Below are 24,577 nucleotides of genomic sequence, written 5' to 3' on the forward strand. Positions count from 1 at the left end.
TGTACCATCAGCAGATGGGCTAGAGCCTTCTTAAATATGCTTCAGCTGAGGCATGTGTGATACAGTGGTGGATGAATTTAGATGTCATACAATTTTATATAAGCCAACATGAGACCTGAATTTTTTTTAAGCGACTAGGGCAGGGGCTACAACATTCCTAATTGGTAACATATTTAAAAGGTTTGAAAAATACAGAAGCCCAGAGATAGCAGAAGTGCTATTCTGAAGTCTGCACAGGAGTGAATAAATCAAGTACATACCCAAGAGAAATGAAAACATATGTTCACACAAAAATGTGTACATGAATGTTCACAGAAGCATTATCCTTAACAGCCCCAAAGCGGAAGCAACCCAAATGCTTACTAACTGATGAATGGATAAATCAAATATGGTGTATATTCATAAAATGAAATATTATTTCACCATAAAGAAGGAATGAAATACTGACAGATACTACAACATGGATGAGCCTACGGCATTATGCTAAGTGAAAAACACCAGTCATTAAAGACCACATATTCTTGCATGGTTCTGTTTATATAAAATGTCCAAAATAGGCAAATTCATAGAAACAGGAAGTAGACCTGTGGTTGCTCAGGGTTAGGACATTAAGGAACAAAATGGAGAGTAACTGCAAATGGACATGAGAGAGGGAGAGAGAGACAGAGAGAGAGAGAGGGAGAGAGAGAAAGAGAGAGTCTGGAGTAAAAATTCTTCTAAATACTAGAGATGGGGTCTCGCTCTATTGCCCAGACTGCAGTGCAATGGCACAGTCATAGACACTGCAGCCTCAAACTCCTGGGCTCAAGAGATCTTTCTTTCTCAGCCTCTTGAGCAGCTAAGACTATAGTCACAAACGGGGCTCCACGGTCTATATGTATTTAATTTTCAATAGCAAACACTTCTGCAGCAGACCAGAACACAATTTTCCCCCAACTCCTGGCAGGTGGTACCAGGAAGACTTGATTCCTTGACAAATACTAAGATAGTCCTTGGTAAGCACAGACAAAACAGATTACTTACATCATTTCTATAAAAACTAGGTTAAAGTTTTCAGCAAAGCCTCTCAAATCATTAAATGACACGACAGTTTGGCATTTGCTTTTCACTTAATTTGAAAGACTAAGGACAATCTTCAAGACTACAAATAGGTCACTCTCAACTTTCCCTTCCTCTTAGCCAACTAAACATTTAAGCCCTTTCCATTTTTCTTTCATATTATTCCAACTGTTCCTCTTTATCATACCCACTAATACTACTCTAGCTTAACCCAACAGACTTCTACAGCACCTTCTCCTTTCCAATCCAAGATTACTCTTGCTTCCATTAATTTATTTAACAAATATTTATTAAGCATTTACTATGTTCCATTAAATATTCCAATTACTGTTCTAAGTACTGGGAAGAGAGCACTGAACAAAACTTGCTTTTATCATGTGCTATTTTATCAAGGGGGTGACCTTAGTTCTTATCTCACAGAGAAAAGAGAAGCTATTCGATTAGAATGTCCACAGCCTTCCATCTGTACCGACATAGTCTGACTTCCCTACCCTTACTCTTAATTAAACCATCCATCTCTCTGCCCACTGGATCCCTTTCTCCAGGACACACTCCTGCCACTGACCTCCTTTGTTTCCTGCTTAAACAATATTTCCTTCTCTACTGGGTTATTCCTGTCAGCATACAAAATATTTCAATAATTCATACCTCAAAAAGAAAAAAAAAAAAAAAACTCTTTCCTGAGTCTACATCCCTGTCTAGCCACTGCCCCATTTGTTTTCTTTTCCATGACACCTCAAAAAAATTTTCTATACTCACTCTATACTTTTCCCACTCTCTCTCAGGCTCACATTAGTCAGGCTCTTGTCCTTCCACTCCAGCAAAATTATTTATTTCAAGGTCACTGATAACCACTTTACCAACAGTCAACTGTAGTCATCCTAGCCTTTTCCAGCAACACTTCACTGAGTTTATCACTCCTTCCCTTCCTGAAAAACTTTTTTCACTCAGCCTCTAGGACACCACACTCTTCACATTTCTCTCCTGCCTCACTGGCTACTCTTTCACAGTTTCATTTACTGATTCCCTTCCAGTGTCCCAAATTTCTAAACTTCAGAGTACCTCAGGACTGAGTCTTTGGATACCTCTTATCTACGCTAACCCTCCAGACCAGTGCTACTCAAAAAGTGTAGTCAACGAATGAAGAGTAGCAACACCAGGTACCTCTTAAAAATGCAAATTCTCAGGCCTTGCCCTAGAACTAGGGTGATTTTTTTATGCATGCTAAAAGCACTCCTCTTGTTGACCTCATTCAGTCCTCGGTTTTAAGTATCATCTGTACAATGGTTTTCGACCCTGGCTCCACATTGGATTTCACTTGCAATGGCATTTTAAAAATATGACTAGAAAGCAAAAGTTAAATTTTGCTAAATTTTATAAATAGAATATTTGTAAAAATAACACTTAAGGAAAAACTAGATTATGACATTGAAAGTAATGAACATTAATTTTAATAATGAAAGTAGTCCCTGAATAATCTTTTCTATGCATCAAAGTTTTCCTCAAAGGCATACATAAACCCCTCACATTGAAACATATGAAAACAATGTGATCCATAACATCCAGGCATTTCCCTTTCAATATATGTACTCAAAGAAGGAAATATATGTCCATACAAAAACTTGTACACAAATGTTCATAGCAACTTCATTTGTAATGGCCCAAAACTGAAAATAACCCAAATGTTAATCAACAGGTGAATGGATAAAGAAACTGTGGTACATCCATACAATGGAATACTACTCAGCAACACAAAGAAATGAACCACTGACACTCAAGAGGAGTTATGCCGAGTGAAAGAGATTGGACCAAAAAAATACACACTGTATGATTCCATTCACATAAATTTCTAGAAAATGCAAACTAATTTATAGTGACAGAAAGCAGATCAGTAGTTGCCTAGCAACCAGAGATGGGATGGGGGTAGGTACAGGAGGGAGGAATTAAAAATGGGCACAAAGAAACTCCAGAAAATAATGGATGTGTGTCTGCTCTCTTGATTGTGGTGATAGTTTCACAGGTATATTCATATGTCAAAACTTAACATATTGCATGTTTTATGTGTGGTTTATTGTATGTCAATTATACCTCAAAAAAAAAAAAGCTGTCTAAAATTTTTTTAACCTAACTACTAATCAAATTAAAACGGGAGGCCAGGCACGGTGGCTCACGCCTGTAATCCCAGCACTATGGGAGGCCGAGGTGGGCAGATCATGAGGTCAAAAGATTGAGACCATCCTGGCCAACGAGATCGCACCACTACACTCCAGCCTGGCGACAGAGCAAGACTCTGTCTCAAAAAAAAAAAAAAAAAAAAAAAAAAAAAATTAAAACAGGAATACCTAGGTCCCACTTAAATGAGGATCTGTAGGCTCAAATTTTTTGAAAGTTCTCAAGCTGATGTGTATTCAAGGTTGAAAACAATTGATCTATACACAGATATTAAAATTTTATCAGCCCCAATGTCTCCCATAAACTCCAGACTTCTATAACCAACTACCTACTTAACATATCCACTTGGGGCTAGGCTTGGTGGCTCACACCCATAATCCCAGCAGTCTGGGAGGCCAAGGCGGGTGGATCACTTGAGGTCAGCAGTTCAAGACCAGCCTGGCCAACATGGCGAAACTCCGTCTCTACTAAAAATACAAAATTTGCCAAACGTGGTGGTGTGCATCTGTTATCCCACTTACTCAGGAGGCTGAGGCAGGAGAATCACTTGAATCCAGAAGGCAGAGGTTGCAAGTGACAGAGTGTGACTCTGTCTCAAAAAAAAAAAAAAAAAATCCACCTGGATGTCTATGAGTAGCTGGGACTACAGGAGTGCACCATCACGCCAGCTAATTTTTGTATTTTAAATAGAGATGGGGTTTCACCATGCTGGCCAGACTGGTCTCAAACTTCTGGCCTCAAGTGATACTCCTGCCTCAGCCACCCAAAGTGCTGGGATTACAGGGGTAAGCAACCATGCCCAACCAACAATATACTCTTGATTTCTCCCTTCTCCCACTCTTCCAATCTTCAACAATCTTTTTATCTCTCAGTAACTAGCACTTCATTCTTCCAGTTGCTTAGACCGAACACTTAGAAGCAGTATTTATTCCGTTTTTCCTCTCATACTCACATCTAAGTCACCATCAAATGCTTTCCATCCCCACCTTCAAAATAAGTCTAAAATTGAATGCTTTCTTACCACCTCCATTGATACCACCCTTGTAATATCTTCATAACATCCCGGCCAGGTATGGTGGCTCACATCTGTAATCTCAGCACTTTGGGAGGCTGAGGTGGGTGGATCACCTGAGGTCAGAAGTTCAAGACCAGCCTGGCCAATATGGCGAAACCCCGTCACCACTAAAAATACAAAAAAAAATGTAGCTAGGCGTGGTGCTGGGCGTCTGTAATCCCAGCTACTCGGGAGGCTAAGGCAGGAGAATCGCTTGAACCCAGGAGGGGGAGGTTGCAGTGAACCGAGATCACGCCATCACACTCCAGCCTGGGCAACAAAAGCAAAACTCTGTCTCAAAAAATAAATAAATAACATCCCTCAATTGTTCTGCTACAGGCCATTCTTCCACAGAGCAGCCACTGTGATCCTTCCAAATGTAAATCAAATTATATTATTCCTCTGCTTAAAACCACCCAATGGGCTCCTCCTTTCCACCCAATCAATCCCCTTCACTGGCAACCAGAGTATATGGCAATCAACAAAATCCAAAATTATTGCTCTAGTCCACAAGTCTCTATGTGATATAGGCTCTTCCTATCTGATCTTCTATACTCTTCTATATGGCACCCATTATTCCAGTGTCTTAGTCTGCTTGGGCTGTCATAACAAAATACCATAGACTGGGTAGCTTAAACAGCAGATATTTATTTTCTCACAGTTCTGGAGGGTGGAAAGTCCAAGACCAAGGTCCAGTAGGGTTCCGCTTCTACTCAGGGCTCTCTTCTACTTACATTTCCTTCTGGCTTACAGACGGCCATGTTCTCACTGTGTCCTCACAAGGCCTTTCCTCAGTGCATGCACAGGGAGAGACCGACAAACCTCTCCCTCTTCTTACAAGGCCACCAATCCTACTGGATTAGGACTCCACTTTTACGAGTTCATTTAATCTTAATTGCCTCCTACCAGCCTTATCTCCAAATACAGTCACATAGGGGGTGAGGGCTTCATTCAGTATGTGAATTTTGGAGAGATGCAACTGAGTCCACAGCATCCTGCATCAATGGCTTTCTACTTCTGCCCGAGGGTTTCCCCTGCTGTTCCTCTGCCCACTCACTCCCTCACTTCTTCCAGGTCTCTGTTCAAACGCCAAATGTCAGAGAAGTCTTCCTTTTTACTTTATTCTTTTTTTACTGTATATGAATGCCAGACCATAATTGTAGGAGAAGTCTTTCTTAATCTGACACAAAACAGCATTCTACTCTCCAACTTCACTCCCTACTCTATCCTCCTTACTATGCTTTATTTTCTTCAAAGCACTTCTCTACCTACTACATTACATATTATTATTAATAGTTTATCATCTGTTTTCCTCTACCAGAATAGAATATAGGCTCCCTACCACCCCCCTAATTGTAAACAGGGACTTTTTCCTCTTCTATTTTGTTCACTGCTGTTTCTCCTGTGCCTACAGCATAAAAATACTTAATGTGCAAAAATATGTACATCTATTTTGTATCAATAAAGAAAAATAAATATTTAATGTTTTTAATGAATGAACGTTAAACCATCCTACAAAAAATTTCCAGGGATCTGTGATCCTATCGCACTTGTTTTCAACCCTGGCTACACATTAGCATCACAAGGAGTCCTTTTAAAATTACTATACTTGGGCCCCCACCCAGACCAATTGAATAAAAGACCTCCAGGAATGAAGCCTGGTACAGGTTATTTTTCAAATCTCCTGGGCTGCTCCTATTGTGCAGTCAATGGCCTATAAAACAAGATCAAATCAGGATCTGCCAGGTGAAGCAAATTATTACATTTCACCTTTGCTTTCCTAATCCACTGAAGATTCCATCTTTTCCAAATAACCTTATCTACTCTAGTATTATCGTCATCTCTCCCCTCTCTAAAACACTACAGCCTATGTAGACTATGACAAATAATCATTATAAATACATATATAACTATATCATCAAATACAGTTTGCTCCCATTTTCATTTTTATTTTTTAAAATAAAAAAAAAATCTTCTGTCCAATGTGTCAGCACCACTTTCAAACTACTTATATTTCTTTTTAACCCTCAAAGTGTTATGCACATACTGGATACTGAATACATGCTAAATGAAGAAAATTTGCTTATAAAATTATGTGCCCTTTCAATTTGTACTAAACCAGAGACAGGGTGCATAATTCTAATCTTTTATTAAGAACCACTTAAATCAGTGGTGTCTAACACCCTGGCGACATATTGGAATCATCTGAGGAGCTTTAAAAAAAAAATACCCCTTTAGCCAGGTGTGGTGGTGCGTGCCTGTAGTCTTACGTACTCAGAAGGCTGAGGCGGGAGGACAGCTTGAGGCCAGGAGTTTGAGGTTATAATGAGCTATGACTATGCCTCTGCACTCCAGCCTGTGAAACAAAGCGAGACCCTCTCTCTTTCAAAAAGAAAGAAAAAATACACTTGTCTGGGCTCCACCTTTAAGAACTTGATTTACTTAGACTGGGATAGAGCCCAGTATCCTCTTATTTGTTTAGTTGTGAAGTTTCCAAGATGATTCTAATGTGCAGTGAGGCTGGGTGCATTGGCTCACACCTGTAATCCCAGCACTCTGGGAGGCCACAGTGGCTGTATCACCTGAGGTCAGGAGTTCGAGATCAGCCTGGCCAACGTGGTGAAACCCCGTCTCTACTAAAAATACAAAAATTAGCAGAGCTTGGTGGCGTGAGCCAGTAATCTCAGCTACTCAGGAGGCTGAGGCAGGAGAATCGCTTGAACCCAGGAGAAAGAGGTTTTAGTGAGCCAAGATTGCACCACTGCAGTGCAGCCTCAGCAACAAAGCGAGATTCCACCTCAATAATAACAATGTGCAATGAGAGTTGGGAACCAGTGACTGAAACACATCAAATCTGAAGGTCTAAGTTTTCTAAAAATAGAAATTGAGGTGGGCAAATCATTTGAGCTCAGGAGTTTGAGACCAGCCTAGTAACATGGTGAAACCCCATCTCTACAAAAAATATAAAAATGAGCCAGGCGTGGTGGCACGTGCCACCCAGCTACTTGGGAGGCTGAGGTGGGAGAATTGCTTGAGCCCAGGAGGTTGAGGCTGCAGTGAGCCATGACTGCACCACTACACTCCAGCCTTGGCAATGAAGTGAGACCCTGTCTAAAAGGCAAAAAAAAAAAAAAAAAAAAGAAATCAGTAGTATTAAAAGATGTTATTTGATTTAGAGTTCACAGAAAACAATTTTCCAAATAGTTCTTTATGATATGGATAGACTGATAGTATACTCACTAATAAACCATGCCTAGTTTTAGCTAAAATAAGTCTTTTCTAGGTATTAATTTTTTCTTTTACAATTCAGCTTCCATTTCTGCAACCTATAATTCTGGAGGACTTACTAGTACAAAGTATTTTTCCTAAGTTTCTTTCATTTGTTTCATTAACTTAGTCACTCATGAAAATGTTTATTGTGGCAGGCAGCCTTCTAAAATGGCCACTAGTAATCCCTGCCTCCTGGTATTCATGCCCTTATCCAAACCCCTTCCCTACATGTGGGCTGGACCTAGTGAGGTGCTTCTAATAAATAGGATACAGCAAAAACCGATTGGATGTCATTTCCAAAATTAGCTTACTAAAACACTCTAGCTTCTACCCTCACTCTCTCCCCTTGTTGTGATCTCCCCTAACAGAGTGGCCCATGTGGCAAAGAACTGAGGGAAGCCTCTGGTCAACAGGTCATCAGGAACTAATGTCCTAGGTCCAACTGCCAGCAAAGAACTGAGGTCAACAGCCACCTGAATAAGCCTGGAAGTGAGTGATTCCTCCTGTCGGGACCCTTGAGAGAGCTGCAGCCCCAGCCACAACGCTGACTGCAGCCTTGTATCAGGAGATCCTGAATCAGAGGACCCAGCTGAGCTGTACCTAGATTCCTTATCCATAGAAATCTGTGAGATATAAATGTCGGTAAGTAGCTAAGTTCCGGGTAATTTGTTATGCAGCAGTAGGTAACTAATATATGTATTTATACTATAATATTTCAAGTATTGAGGCCAGGCACAGGTGGCTCACGCCTGTAATCTCAGCACTTTGGGAGGCTGAGGCAGGTGGATCGCTTGAGGCCAGGAGTTTGAGACCAGCCTGGTCAACATGGCAGAACCCCATCTCTACTAAAATAGAAAAATTAGCTGGATGTGGTGGTGCGTGCCTATAATCCCAGCTACTCAAGAGGCTGAGGCATGAGAATCGCTTGAATCCAAGAGACGGAGGTTGCAGTAAGCTGAGATTGTGCCACTGCACTCCAGCCTGGGCGACACAGCAAGACTGTCTCAAAAAAATAAAAATAAAAAAATACTGAGATGCCATTCTTCACTACAGAAAATCTGGTGCCCATAATGGGAGGATGGCTTCTTTGATACACCTAGCTCTGGGCAACTGAATCTTTATATATTACATAGAAGTTATGGCACTCAGTTAATTCACACTGGACTGCAACAAATCATCCATTAGGTTACAGCACATTCAGAGTGGGACAAGCTGTCCTTTGTTTGAGGTTACTGAAGTAAATAATACTTGATTTGCCCTTCACTTATCATTCTAATACAACTGTGCTAGTTGGTGTTTCACTTCTTTGTGATGTTCATTTTAATGTGTGCTTATTCCTGTTACACAGTTTACTCTGTGCTCTTTCCTTACTACTTCTCCTACTGCTTTCCCTCTACTTCCTGCCCTGGTGCTGGTAAGACACTGGTTTTAAGAGTCATAGTCAGGCAGTAGTATTATTGCCCCTTTCATCCTGTGTCTCCACTGCCTTTTACCAGCCAGAGCTGTTACTTCTTGCGTAATGATCAGATCTGTGGCTCTTTGAATAACTGCTCCGGGAACAGCTTACTGCAGTATTCTCAAAGCACAGTCTCTATACCAATAGTGGGCTCTGTCAGTCTATTGTATGCTCTACAGGTAGCCTGGTATAATCATAAACTTAAAAGGTAATTATGATTTTTCACAGAAACCCTGCTGTTCTTATGTAATAAATAATTCAAACTCATAAAAATTGTTTTAACTCATAAAAGCAGAGATGAAAATAATTCACAGATGCCAGAATTCAAAATAATGCTGTGAAAGCAAACAATAAACAAGGCTTCAATGGAATGTGGAATGTCAATCAGTATGAACTGGGTAAATGAATTTATAACTGTGATGTCTATGCCAAGTACCTAGAAAAGTATGAATGAGAAGCGTAGTAATAAGTATCTGAAAACTGTTTTTTAACAGTTTTTTACATTTTACATTTTGCTTGTTTCACAAACAAAAGGATGTTCTTTAACATCCTTTTGCTTCTAGTGGCCAGTGTTACCTAGTGTAATCTTTTTTCAAATAGTGGCATGAAACATCAAAGTTTTTGAATAATTTTCAACATGAAAGTACCTCTCTGCCAAACAAAGTAAGGTTTTATAAAACAAGGGCAAAATATGCTCTTCTGTGTAAACTGATGAATTATTTCACAAAAAAAGAAGGTTAAAACTACAAAAGCATCATTTATAGTTGTATTTACAATATAAAAACATTATAAAGAAGGTTTTTAAAAAATTCACAAAGTTCATGATATGTTTGACGAGGAAGCAGAAGGCATGAAATTCTGTTAACATATGATGTGGCCGGGTATTTTATAATGCTGATAGCATGCAATGTAGAAGAGTTAACACTATTACATGGTAACAGGTATTTTTGCTTTACAGTTGGAACAAAACACAAATGTGAAAAAAAAATCAATCAGCTTGTTATGTAATTACAGACAATCTATTTGAGAAAGACGTGAACAATGACTTCTGTTTTATCACTTACATCAAAACTGAAAGAAAAGTTATTTCTAGTAGAGTGAAACTATAACATAAACTGAACTACAATATCATTGGAAAAGATGAGCTGGAATCACAACTTTACCTGTGTAGATACAAAGTTATAGAAGAGGTTGCAAAAGATTGCCTAATCTTCATGTTGCTTTAAACCTCAGTATGTAATTGGCAATCAAAAATACACTTCCCACACTCAATGAGGTCAGAACGGTTGTAATGTTTTTTCCACAGAAAGAAAACATTATTGAATATATTGAATTTTCCATCTTAATATAAACTGGCTATTGCAGGAAAAAGAATTTACATTTCAAGAAACAGAAAGCATCCTAAATGATCATATATAATTTCTAGACCACTGCTCAAGTGATATCCATATCAGGACATACAATGAAAATCTTGAATAGCATGAACACAAGAGCACATCTCATTTTATTGTGCATTACTTTATTACTTTTTACAAATTGAAGGTTTGTGGCAATCCTGTGCTCAGCAAGGCTATTGGCGCCATTTTTCCAACAGCATGTAAAAGTTGTCTCTGTGTCGCATTTTGGTAATTCATAAAATGTTTTCGTTATTATTATATCTGTTATGGTGATCTATGATTGGTGATCTTTGATGTTACTGCTGTCATTGTTTTGAGGAGCCAAGGCCCACACCTGTATATGACAGTCAACTAAATTGGTAAGTGTTTGTGTTCTGGCTGCTCCACTGACCAGCTGTTCCCTGTCTCTCCTTCTCCTTGAGCCTCCCTCTTCCCTGAGACACAATAATATTAAAATTTGGCCAATCAATAACTCAACAATGGTGTCTAATAATTGTTCAGGTGCGAGGAAGAGGCATACATCTCTCACTTTAAATCAAAAGCTAGAAATGATTAAGCTTAGTGAGGAAGGCATGTCAAAAGCCGAGACAGACCAAAAGCTAGGCCTTTTGTGCCAGTTAGCTAAGATGTGACTATAAAGAAAAGCTGTCGAAGGAAATTTAGAATGGTACTCCAGGGAACACACAAATGATAAGGAAGCAAAACAGCCTTACTACTGGGATATGGAGAAAAGTTTCAGCTTGGATAGAAGATCAAACCAGTCACAACATTTCATTAAACCAAAGCCTAATCCACAGCAAGACCCTAACTCCATTCCATTCTATGAAGGCTGAAAGAGGTGAGGAAGCTGCAGAAAAGTCAAGCCACCTTCACATGAAAAAATTACAAAGTGAAGCAGCAAGTGCTTATATAAAAACTGCATCAAGTTATACAGAAGATCTAGCTAAGAGAGTTGATAGAGGTGGCTACACTAAACAACAGATTTTCAATGTAGACAAAAAAGCATTATTGAAAGAAGATGCCATCTAGGACTTTCAGAGCTAGAGACGAAAAGTCAATGCCTTGATTCAAAGCTTCAAAGGACAGGCTGACTCTCTTGTTAGGGGCTAATGCAGTTGGTAACTTTTAAGGTGAAGCCAATGCTCACTGACCATTCCAAAATTCCTAGACCCTTTGAAATTATGCTAAATATACTCTGCCTGTGCTCTATAAATGAAACAACAAAGCCTGGATGATAGCACATCTGTTTACAGCATAGTGTACTGAATTTAAAATATTCAGCTCACCGTTAAGACCTGAATTTAAAATATTTAGCTCACTGTTTAAGCTCACTATTGAGACCTATGCTCAGATAAAAAGATTCCTTTCAAAATATTACTGCTCTTTAATAATGCACCTGGTCACCCAAGAGCTCTAAGGGACATGTACAAGGAGATTAATGTTTTCATGCCTGCTAACACAGCATCCATTCTGCAGCCCCATAGATCCAGGAGTAATTTCAACTTTAAAGACTTATTATTATTATTACTGTTTTTGAGACAGAGTCTTGCTCTGTCACCCAGGCTGGAGTGCAGTGGTGCCATCTCGGCTCACTGCAACCTCCATCTCCCAGGTTCAAGCGATTCTCCTGCCTCAGTCTCCTGAGTAGCTGGGACTACAGGCATGTGCCACCACGCCTGGCTAATTTTTATATTTTTAGTAGAGACAGGGTTTCACCATGTTGACCGCACTGGTCTCAAACTCCTGACCTCAGGTGATTGACTCACCGCAGCCTCTCAAAGTGCCGGGATTACAGGCATGAACCACCACGCCCGACCCTCAAGTCTCATTATATTAGAAATACATTTCATAAGGCTATAGCTGCCAGATAGTGTGATTCCTTGGATGGATCTCGGCAAAGTAGATTGAAACCTTCTGGAAAGGCTTCGCCATTCTAGATGTCATTAAGAACATTTGTGACTCAGGGAAGGAGGTCTAAATATCAACATGAACAGGAGTTTGGTGGAAGTTGATGCCAATTATCATGGATGACTGAATGGTTCAAGATTTCAGTGGAGGAAGTAACAGCAGATGTGGTAGAAATAGCAAGAGAACTAGAATTAGGCCGGTGTGGTGGCTTACGCCTATAATCCCAACACTTTGGGAGGCCGAGGAGGGCAGATCACTTAAGCTCACAAGTTCAAGGCCAGATCTGGCCAATATGGCGCAACCCTGTCTCTACCAAAAATGCAAAAAATTAGCTGGGCTTGGTGGCGCATGGCTGTAGACCTAGCTACTTGGGAAGCTGAGGTAGGAGGATGGCTTGAGCCTGGGAGGCAAAGGCTGCAGTGGGCCAAGATCGCGCCACTGCACTCCAGCCTGGGCAACAGAGCCAGACTTTGTCGCAAACAAACAAACAAACAAACAAACAAAAAAACAGAACTAGAATTAGTGGAACAAGAAGATGTGACTGAATTGCTGCAATCTCATGACCAAGCTTTCACAGATGAGGAGTTGCTTATTACAGATAAACACACAAAGTGGTTTCTTGATATGGAATCTACTCCTGGTGAAGATGCTGTGAACACAGTTTAAATGACAACAAAGGATTTAGAATATTACATAAACTTAATTGATAAAGAAGCAACAGGGCTTGAGAGGACTGGCTTAAATTTTGAAAGAAGTTTTGCTGTGAGTAAAATGCTATGCAACAGCACTGCATGCTACAGATGAATCTTTCATGAAAGGAAGAGTTAATCAATGTGGAAAACTTTATTGTCTTAATTTTAAAAATTGCTACAGCCACCCCAACCTTCAACAATCACCAACATGATCACTCAGCAGCCATTAACATCAAGACAAGACCCTCCACCAGCAAAAAGATTACAACTAGCTGAAAGCTCAGATGGTCATTTGAATTTTTTAGCTATATTTTAAATTAAGGTATATACATTGTTGTTTTTGGATATAATGCTATTATTACACATTTAACAAACTACAGAATGGTGTAAACATAACTTTTATATGAACTAGGAAACCAAAAACTTCGTATGACTTGCTTTGTTGTGATATTTGCTTTACTGCAATGTTCTAGATATAGGGCACAATACAATAAATTTATTTTTTAATTTTAAAAAGTCAGGCTGGGCCGGGCACAGTGGCTCACGCCTGTAATCCCAACACTCTGGGGAGTCCGAAGCAGGTGGGTAATCTGAGGTCAGGAGTTCGAGACCAGCCTGACCAACGTGGTGAAACCCCTAAAATACAAAATTAGCTAGGCATGGTGGTACATGCCTATAATCCCAGCTACTCAGGAGGCTGAGGCAAGAGAATTGCTTGAACCCAGGAGGCAGAGGTTGCAGTGGCTGAGATTGCGCCACTGTACTCCAGCCTGGGCACCAGAGCCAAACTCTGTCTCAAAAAAAAAAAAAAAAAAAAAAGGCTGGGCTTGGTGGCTCAGGCCTGTAATCCCAGAACTTTGGGAGGCAGAGGCAGGAGCTTGAACCTGGGAGGCGGAGGTTACAGTGAGTCAAGATGGTGTCACGGCACTCCAGCCTAGGTGACCGAGCAAAAACTCCAACTCAAAATAAATAAATAAATAAACAAAAATAAATAAAAATCAAATATGGTATATAAGGGTTGATCAAGAAAATAACTTTCCTGAGGGGGGCAGAGGGGTGGATCACCTGAGGTCAGGAGTTTGAGATCAGCGTGACCAACGTGGTGAAACCCCGTCTCTACTAAAAATACAAAAATTAGCTGGGCATAGTGGCGGGTGCCTGTAATCCCAAGCTACTTGGAAGGCTGTGAAAGGAGAATCGCTCGAACCCAGGAGGTGGAGGTTGCGGTGAGCTGAGATCATGCCATTGCACTCTAGCATGGGTGACAAAAGCAAGACTCCATCTCAAAAAGGAAAAAAAGAAAGAAAAAAAGAAAAGAAATTAACTTTCCCACTAGGAGTAACCAGGAAGCAGATTAGTATTAAATTTGCCAATGCCTCAATTTGGAATATTCAAACTGTTAGCATTTTAGAGGGACAAAGCTCATCAAGGGTCTGAGGGTAAAAGAAACACCCATCAGTAGGAAATTATCCTTAATTTCTGGATCAAGTTCAATATGAATATTCAGAATTATCTGAGCAAGCCATTGCTTGCCACCAATTCAGCGAACTATAATTTTAAATTAGCATAGGAGGTAGTAGAAATTGAGAGGAAATGAAACATACTAAATGGGGAACTTGATATATATAGTTCAAGCTCATGAGCCCTACATAGAACCTAATAATACAATATTGGTTTCACAGATTTGGTTTATTATGAATAATGATTATTTTAAGTACTAATTATTATTACTATTTTATATTTTTATTTATTTATTATTCTATTTATTTACTGATTGACTGACCAACAGCGTTTTGCTGTGTCACCCAGGCTGGAGTGCAGTGGCACAATCATAGTTCACTGTGACCTCAAACTCCTGGGCTCAAGCAATCCTCCCACCTCAGCCTTCCAAATAACTGGTACTACAGGTGCTCACTACCATGCCCAGCCAATTTTTAATAAAATTTTTGTAGAGATGGGGTTCTGTTATGTTGCCCAGGCTGGTTTCAAACTCCTGGCCTCAAGCCATCCTCCTGCCTTGGCCTCCCAAAATGCTGGGATTACAGCCCACCTTGTTTTTATTATTGAAGATGTAATCTTTTTTTTTTTAAACTTACAAAAATTAGTGGTGTGCTTCTATATTCTTTGTGTTCCAAGAATACTAAAGATTGAGATACAATGGCATAACGTTTAAGAGCTTGGCTCTGAAGTCAGATTGCCTGAATTCAAATCCTACTCTGATACTTACGTAAAAATCCTCATTTCTCTTTTATAAAACAGTAATTCTGAGGAGTAAAATATATATAGCATGAAAATACCTTAATATATTGTCTTACAAATAAGTATTAATAAATAATAACTATTTGTTCTTATTCTTTGAGGCTCACATCTCTTGCATTCATGCCTTTGGCCTTCCCACACTGAATATGGCTGACTTGTATAACCAGGACACTGCAGAAATTACAAAGTGGGATTTCTGGGGCTAAGTCATAAAAGACATTGTGACTTTCATCCTGTTTACTCCTGGATCATTCACTCTGGGGGAAGCCAGCTCTTATGTCATGGGGACACTCAAGCAGCCCTATGAGCCGTCTTGGAAGAAAATGTTCCAGCTGAGTCAAGCCTTCAGGTAACTGCAGCCTCAGCTGTTATCTTAGTTGCACCCTCAGGAGAAACCCAGAGCCAGAACCACCCAGCTAAGCTGCTCCCAAATTCCTGACTCACAGGAACTATGAGAAAATAAATGTTTTGGAGTAGTTTGTCACACAAAAATAGGTAATAAATCTGTTTACCAAAAACATGTGAAAAGACAGTGGTTTCTGGCACGGGAAAGGGGAATACAGAAGAGAGAAAAAGGGAGAGGAATGGGAATAGAGCTAATCAAATGAATAGAATAAATCAATGTATTCAAAAATATTTTAGTCTGTCATTATTTCTTGGTTTCTAAGATCATTTAATTATCTTCTTTGTCCTTAGCTATATGCTCTGAACTTTGAAATATATATATTTTGCTTTTTTTTTTTTTTTTTTTAGAGACAGAGTCTTACTCTGTCACCCAGGCTGGAGTGCAGTGGTACAATCTTGGCTCACTGCAAACTCCACCTCTCGGGCTCAAGCAATTCTCATGCCTCAGCCTCCTGAGTAGCTGGGATTACAGGCATGCACTACCATGCCCACTAATTTTTATATTTTTAGTAGAGACAGGGTTTCGCCATGTTTGCCAGGCTAGTCTCAAACTCCTGGCCACATGTAGATCCACCTACCTATGCCTCCCAAAGTGCTGGGATTATAGGCGTGAGCCACAGTGCCCAGTCAGAATTTTTTTTTTTAATTTAAAAAATGTTCTAAGTATTCACATGTACAATTTTATTATGTAATAACCTATTTACAAAAAAAAAGCAAAAGTTCACTGTTGAGACGCTATTCACTTCAAAGCTTCTATTACATGCAAGGCACTGTGCTAAATGCAAGAGGAGACTAAAAGATGAAGATAGATGGTTCTTATCTCATCATGGAGTCTCAATTTGGTAGGGAAAACAGACATGATGAATCCAGTAATGACTCAGAACGTAGTATACTTTCAAGCATTTGTTCAATAAATATGAGAAGTAGGTAATGCTGAGACTATACCTACAACTGGGAGAATCAGAGTGGAAATGTGTCAGGAAAGCCTTCCTGTAGAGATGATTTTTAAACTGAGCTTAGAGTGTGTGTAGAATTTCAACAGATGGAGCTGAAAAGCAGGGCAATTAAGGTAGAGAGAGCACTATGAGCAAAGTCACCATCTCAAGAAGATGTATAAAATTTCCAAATCTTTTTCAGAAAACCTGCTAGTAAATAATCAACTACAACTGCATACTCAGATTATAACAAGAGATAAGCTGGAAAGGCAAGTTAGAGGCAGGATATGGAGAATTCTGATTGATATATTAACTGGTCTGGAGCCTGGGATTTGAATCAGAAAGAACAGGCAGTTATCTATTACAAGTTCAATCTTTATTAGGATTTTTTAATGCTACTCTGTTTTTGCAGATATTTGAAATGTACTATAATTAAAGGTTTAAAACACTGAATCCATTTTCAAATCCACAACGATTACAATGCAAGGGCATCAGGGACAGACTGGGAGCAAGGAGAACCATTAGGGGCCTGAGAGCATGATGATGCACAGTAGCAGAAATGTGAAAGTTTGCCAGTTAGACTTGTGTATATGTATATGTGACTGTGCATAGGTACACACACATATATTGTCTATATGTATCTGATGTTTATGATACATACATTATAGATAAAACATATAGTATATGCCTTTTTTGCAGCAAATACAAAATCTTAGGAAATTTTACATTTCTGATTAGTATTAATTAGTATTAATTAAATTAGTATTAATACTAATATTAGATGGGGTTTCATAAGTACCAATTGATGGTGTATGCTACAGATAACATGTATCAGAAGAAAATTAGTCTAAGACAAGCACATTTTGTTAATAATTCACATAAAAATGATCAGCACAAGAAAACAGGTCAATAGCGTATGTATTCACTACAGCATATACTTTCTAAATAGCAAAAGCAGCTACGTTTAATTCTGAAAGGGTTGAAGACAAATTGTAATCAAAATATGCTGTTTTAATATATTATACAATGCCATAACAATTTACTTTTGTCGTTTTATTAAGATTGTTTTTGCTGGATGTGGTGGCTTACGTCTGTAATCCCAGCACTTTGAGAGGCTAAGGCCAAAGGATTACTTGAAGCCAGGAGTTTGATTCCAGCCTGGGCAACACAGCAAGACCACATCTCTACAAAAAATTTTAGAAATGAGCTGGGCATGGTGGCATGAGCCTGTAGTCCTAGATACTTTGGAAGTTGAGGAAGGATGATCTCTTGAGCCTGGGAAGCAGAAGGTGCAGTGAGCTGTGACAGCACCATGGCACTCCACCCTGGGCAACAGAGTGAGTGCAACCGTCTCAAAAAAATAAACAATAAAATGAAAAAGAATTGTTAATACTGTTTATATCTATAGTTACTTCTTTTTCATAATCCTAGTTTTGCCCTTTGTTAAAAAAAGATTGCTAGCTAGCCTTACTTTTAAAGGACAAGTTCTGTTTTACTTAACTATTTTTTCTGTTTTCTAATCCATTATTTACTATTCCTTATCTTCACCAATTACTTTTTCCAGCTTTCCTTAGGTTTATTTTGTTATTCTTGTATTAAATTCTTTTGTTGAGTGTTTGTTTTCATTTTCTAGTAATGAAATTCTTAGAAATAATTTTATTTGTATCCTGTATGTTATTCATGTCTTTCATTTTTATTGTAATTATTTTCTACTACAGTTGCCAGTCTGCAGTATCTTTAGACCTTTGACTTAAGTTTTTTCTTTTTTCAGGGACAATAATTTTACATTTTTAAATTCAAGTAATTGAGGTTTTTGTTTTGGGATTTGGAAAGGTTTGGTTTCTGGCTCTCCCTTTTGTTATTAACCTAAAATTTCATTGTAGAGTATGTGGTTAATAATATTTCTACTTTTTAGTTTTTTTTTCAGCTTTCTTTATAATACAATGTAACCTACTTAACAATGTTTAAAAATATAACCTATTTTAAAAAATGTTCTGAGGGGAATTTAAAAGTATTTTTTTCTCTTTACAACAACAGAATGATATATTTATTACATCAGCCTTATATATCAGACAGGCAAATTATATGACTCAGATTCTTTATATCATATTTCTTTATCACTTTGATGCAGCAAGGACTGAAAAATGTTTTTAAAGTCTACCATTGCTGTTAATGTTTAAAGTACTCCCATTACTGTCTCTCTCTTCTTCCCTGAATTTATATCGTTTTCACTCTAAACACTTTTGTGCTTCATCTTTAAAAGGTAAAGATCTGTGGCCCTCTTTATATTAGAAACTATACCCTAGATTATCAGTGTCTCTTTTTCTCACCTGATGTCTACTGCTTTTAATTCAACTTTTTCTAATAATATGAATCCACTGACTTTTTTTTTGCTTATATTTGCCTAGTATCTTGTTTTGACCATCCATTTACTTCCAATCCCCCTAGTAATTTTGTTCTAGTGTGTTTCTAAACACTAAGTGCATAGGTGGGCTTTGTATTTAATCTAATGTAAATCTTGCTTAATAGCTAAGCTATATCATGGGGCCTTTATACTTTTAACAAGCATGTTTGGTCTTGTTTTCATGTTTTCTCTGAATTTTTCCTTGTTTTCCTTCTTTTGCTATACACTTATTTTACACTGAGCACCTACTATGTGCCAAGCATCACACTTAGTGTTAGGAATACAAGGGTAACAAAAAAATTAGCTACATATATATAATTACAAACTGTGGTGTTCATTTTTCCCCACCCTGCCCAATACCATGAGAGGTTTTAACAGGAGTGGGGGTGAATAAGAATCAAGAAAGATTTGGCCATGCACAGTGGCTCATGCCTGTAATCCCAGCAGTTTGGGAGGCTGAGGTAGGAGGATCATTTGAGGTCAGGAGTGTTCAAGACCAGCCTGGTCAACATGGTGAAACCCTGTCTCTACTAAAAATACAAAAATTAGCCAGACGTGCTCACTTGAACCCAGGAGGAGGAGGCTGCAGTGACCCAAGATCGTGCCTCTGCACTCCAGCCTGGGCAACAGAGCAAGACTCCATCTCAAAAAAAAAAAACAAAACATACAATTAGATTTAAATAATACAAAAAGTGTTATAGAAACTGAAAGAAATTTAGTAAGGCTGGAGAATATTGAATATGGAGAAAAATTACATGAGATAAAACTTGAGAGATAGGCAGACCAGGCCAAGAAGGGCTTTATGAGCCATGTTAAAGAACCTAGATTTTGGCTGAGCATCGTGGCACATGCCTGTAATCCCAACAGTTTGGGAAGCTGAGGCAGGAGGATCTCCTGAGCCCAGGAGATCAAGACCAGCCTGGGCAACACAGCAAGACCTCATCTCCACACACACACACAAAAATTAGTTGGGCATGGTGGCACACACCTGTGAACCCACCTACTCAGGAGGCTGAGTTGATAGGATCACTTGAGCCTGGGAGGTCAAGGCTGCAGTGAGCTGTGATCGTGCCACTGCACTCTAGCCTGGGCAACACAGTGAGACCCTGTCTCAAACAAAACAAAACAAAACAACACAACCTGGATTTTATTCTAGGTACAATAAGTATCTTGAAATACTTTTAAGGATGTTAAGTGACTTCCATTATATTTTAATTTTTAAAACACATATGGAATTGGAGAGACTAAGTAGCACACTATTAGAGTAGCCCAGAAAAGAGATGGTGGCTTAGGGTAGCTGACAAATGGTAGAGATAGAAGTGAATGGATTTAAAGATTTTGGTCAAGGTAGTACTATCAGTTTTCCTCTTCCCCTACCCAATTTTGGAGTTACATAGTTTACATCTAGTTCTTTGCAAAGTTACTTTTAAGCATATAGTCACACGTCGCATAACAACATTTTGGTCAACAACAAACCACATATGTGACACTGGTTCCCTAAGATAATGAAGCTGACAAATACTTATCACCTAGTGAAGTAGCTGTCATAACATCACATAGTACTCATGTGTTTGCAGTGATGCTGATATAAACAAACCTATTGTGCTGCCTGTCATATAAAAGTATAGCACCTACCGGCCGGGCACGGTGGCTCACACCTGTAATCCCAGCACTTTGGGTGGCCGAGGGGGGGCAGATCACTAGAGGCCAGGAGTTTGAGACCAGCCTGGCCAACATGGTGAAACCCTGTCTCTCCTAAAAATACAAAAATTAGCCGGGTGTGGTGGTGCATGCCTGTAATCCCACCTACTCGGGAGGCTGAGGCAGGCGAATCACTTGAACTGGGGAGGCGGAGGCTGCAGTGAACCGAGATTGCGCTGCTGCACCCCAGCCTGGGCGACAGAGTAAATGAGACTCCCTCTCAAAAAAAAAAAAAAAATAGCACATGCAATTACGTATAGTCCATAAAACTTGACAATGATAATAAATGACTGTTACTAGTTTATGTATTTACTATATTTTTTATTGCTATTTCAGAGTGTATTCCTTGTATTTATAACTTTAAGCAACCTCAGGCAGGCCCTCAGGAGGTATTCCTGAAGGCATTGTTGTTTTTGGTTTTTGTTGAGACAGGATCTCACTCTGTCACTCAGGCTAGAATCCAATGGTGTGATCATTGTTCACTGCAGCTGCCTTGACCTCCTGGGCTCAAGTGATCCTCCCACCTCAGCCTCCTGAGTAGCTAGGACTACAGATGCATGAACACCCAGCTAATTTTTTTGTATTTTTGTGGAGACAGGGTTTTGCCCTGTTGCCCAGGCTGGTTTCCAACTCCTGGGCTCAAGTGATCTGCCTGCATCGGCCTCCCAAAATGCTATGATTACAGGCATGAGCCACCATGTCTGACCAGCCATTGTTATCACAGCAGATGACGGCTCCATGCATGTTATTACTCCTGAAGACCTTCCAGTGGGACAAGGCAGAGGAAGAAGACAGTGATATTTATGGACCTGACTCTGTATGCCTAGGCTAATGTATGTGTCTGTGTCTTCATTTTTAACAAACAGTTTAAAAAGTAATAAAGTAAAAAAATTTTTGAATGGAGAAAGCACACAGAATAAGGATATAAAGAAAGAAAATACCTGTATTTTTGTACTGTTGTATAATGAGTTTGCATTTTAAGCTAAGTGTCACTACAAAAGAGTGAAAACATTAAAAAAATTAATACTAAGCTCATAAAGTAAAAACATTACATTAAGCTAAGGTTAACTTATTGCTGAAGAAATAAAATTTTTAAAATAAATTTAGTGTAGCCTAAGTGTACAGTGTTTATAAAATCTACAGTGGCATACAGTAATTTCCTAGGCCTTCCTTCACATTCATTCACTACTCACTCACTCACCCAGAGCAACCTCCAGCCTTGCAAGCTCTATGATACAAGTTGTGAAGTAAAATAAATCTAAGCCGGCCAGGCAGGATGGCTCACGCCTGTAATCCTAACAGTTCGGGAGGCTGAGACAGGCAGATCACCTGAGGTCAGGAGTTCGAGACCAGTCTGGCCAACACGGTGAAAACCCGTCTCTACTAAAAAAACAAAAATCAGCCAGGTGTGGTGGCAAGCGCCTGTAATCCCAGCTACTTAGGAGGTGGAGGCAGGAGAATCACCTGAAACCAGGAAGCAGAGGTTTCAGTGAGCTGAGATTGTGCCACTGCACAATAAATAAATAAATAAATCTAAGCCATTCTTATATATCTAATTATGTCCTATAATATTCTAAATCAGTAACATAAAAATTTTTTGGTGTTGTACAGTTACTCACTCACTTAATAAACATTTACTAAATACTACCTATGGTCCAGGCCCTACATTACAGGTATATGGAAATATCCCCTCATGAAATATACATTCTGGTAAAAACATGCAAACATACATAAGTTCAATTTTGCATAAGTTTGAGATGTCTAGAAGACACACAAATGAAGCTGTGTAACTCTCTAATAGTTCACATGTAAATAAATGAGATGATCACGCCTAGCTTACTGACAACACTTTATAGACATACATCAAACATGTATACATGGTACATCAAGATCTTCTAAACTCCAATATTAGTTAAAATATTATACCAACAGGTAGTTTTAATATGATAGATACGGTTTCAGCCCTTACAGTTCAGCGTGAGAAACAAGAAACATACACAAGCAATTAAAGTACATCCACTAAGTACTATTATGGGAGAAGTCCAAAATGGATAAAGAAATCTAGAGAGAGAGAAAAACTCCTGGCTAGATGTCCAAGTTCTCTGTAAATGAGGAACAATATCCAAGAAAGTAATAAAGGTTTGACTCATGAATCGATCTAATCAATGGATATATTATTTTAGCTGGCAATATACTATCACGTAAAGCACAGGTTACGGACAAATTTTAATATCTTAAGAATGAAATTGTGGCATTAAACATAACTTCAATTTAAAGTAACATACAGGAAACAAATGCCAAATACTAAAACAAGATTTCTAAAAAGTATTACCAGAATTTAAAGAAGGAAAAGGTAAGTAGATACTGAAACAGGCCAGGGAAAAAAGTATCTTGTAAGGGACAGTCCCCTAGTACAAGCTTAGAGGATGAACAAGAGTTGAAAGGATGAAAACAATATTCCGTAAAATAGAAACCACATAGGCTCAGAATTAATGATTATTAAAAGAGCTTAGAGAAATGAGTCATCCACTCAATAAATATTTACAATGTACCTATTTTATGATGGGCATTAGAAATCAAAGGTGAAGACACAGTTTTGCCCTCAAAAAGGCTACAGAACACTGTAGAGAATAGACCATCGAACCAGTCATGGTGTGTTGAGACTGGGTTAAATTCAGGCAGCTATGGAAATACAGAGGATGGGTACCTAAGCAGATCCTACGGGAGCACAGAAGGCTTTCTGATTAAATTAAGAATTGAAATGAATAGAAATTAACTAAACTGGTGGTGGGGAAGAGTGGAAGGCAGGAGTTGCGGGGGCAGAGACAGAGAATGGGAGGACAGGCCAGGCACAGTGGCTCATACCTGTAATCCCAGCACTTTGGGAGGCCGAGGTGGGTGGATCACCTGAGGTCAGGAGTTGGAGACCAGCCTGGCCAACATGGTGAAACCCCATCTCTACTAAAGACACAAAAATTAGCAGGGTGTGGTGGCACATGCCTGTAATCCCAGCAACTCAGGAGGCTGAAGCAGAAGAACTGCTTGAGCCCAAGAGGTGGAGGTTGCAGTAAGGTGAGCCGAGATCACGCCACTGCACTCCAGCCTGGGCGACAGAGCAAGAATCCATCTGGAAAAAAAAAAAAAAAAAAAAAAAAGAGCGGGAGGACAGGCAAAACAGCATCCAGAGATTAGAGTGTGTGTAAAGGCCAGAAAGAACAGAGCACATCACCTATAAGTGGGTGGCAAATATGGCTGGGACATGACTTTATACAGGTTAATGGAAAGAGGTAAGGCTGAAGAAATAAACAGGAACCAGTACATGAAACGATTTGCAAGCCATGTTAAGAAGTGTGGACCATGTTAAAGAAGATGTCCCTTTGGCTATACCAGAAGTTTCATAATAAAGAAAATAAATAAAGTTTATAGTAGTGAGGGACCAGATTATCTAGAACAAGAGTTGCAAGTTGAATTATCTACAGAGACTAAATAAGTAATAAAAAGGAATAAAGAGGACCAGGGGTAAGAAAAACCCAAGAGGCAACAAGGACTGTGGAAAGCAAAAGCCCCAACTAAATGGTGCAAACTGTTGCAATGAACAAAGTGTTGCTACATCTTTCTTTTTAAAAAAGAAGTTGGAAATACAAAATTCCAAGTGAAAGCTCTTGATTTTTTAATGATAGCCATTAAATTTCTTTGAAACATGGTGCAGGCTAACATTGAAGGGTCTAAACAAAACAAGACTATGAGCAAACCGATACCACCAGTCATTTGATCCTGCTGAAGCTCAAAGACAAAGCTGATGAGTCTGACTGGGACCTCAAGGCAGTGAAGATTTAAACAGGAATGGAGAGTTACTAAAGATTTA

At 39.1% G+C, this 24,577-nt stretch overlaps 1 protein-coding gene across 15 annotated transcripts in view; it reads right to left on the reverse strand.

The window, feature by feature from the left end:
- The window catches only part of YAF2 (YY1 associated factor 2), an 81,145-nt gene that overhangs the window by 15,281 nt on the left and 41,287 nt on the right, over nt 1-24,577 (reverse strand). The window lies entirely within an intron of this gene.

The sequence above is a fragment of the Homo sapiens genome, chromosome 12, assembly GCF_000001405.40.
Source record: "Homo sapiens chromosome 12, GRCh38.p14 Primary Assembly".
In the NCBI taxonomy this organism is placed as follows: Eukaryota; Metazoa; Chordata; class Mammalia; order Primates; family Hominidae; genus Homo; species Homo sapiens.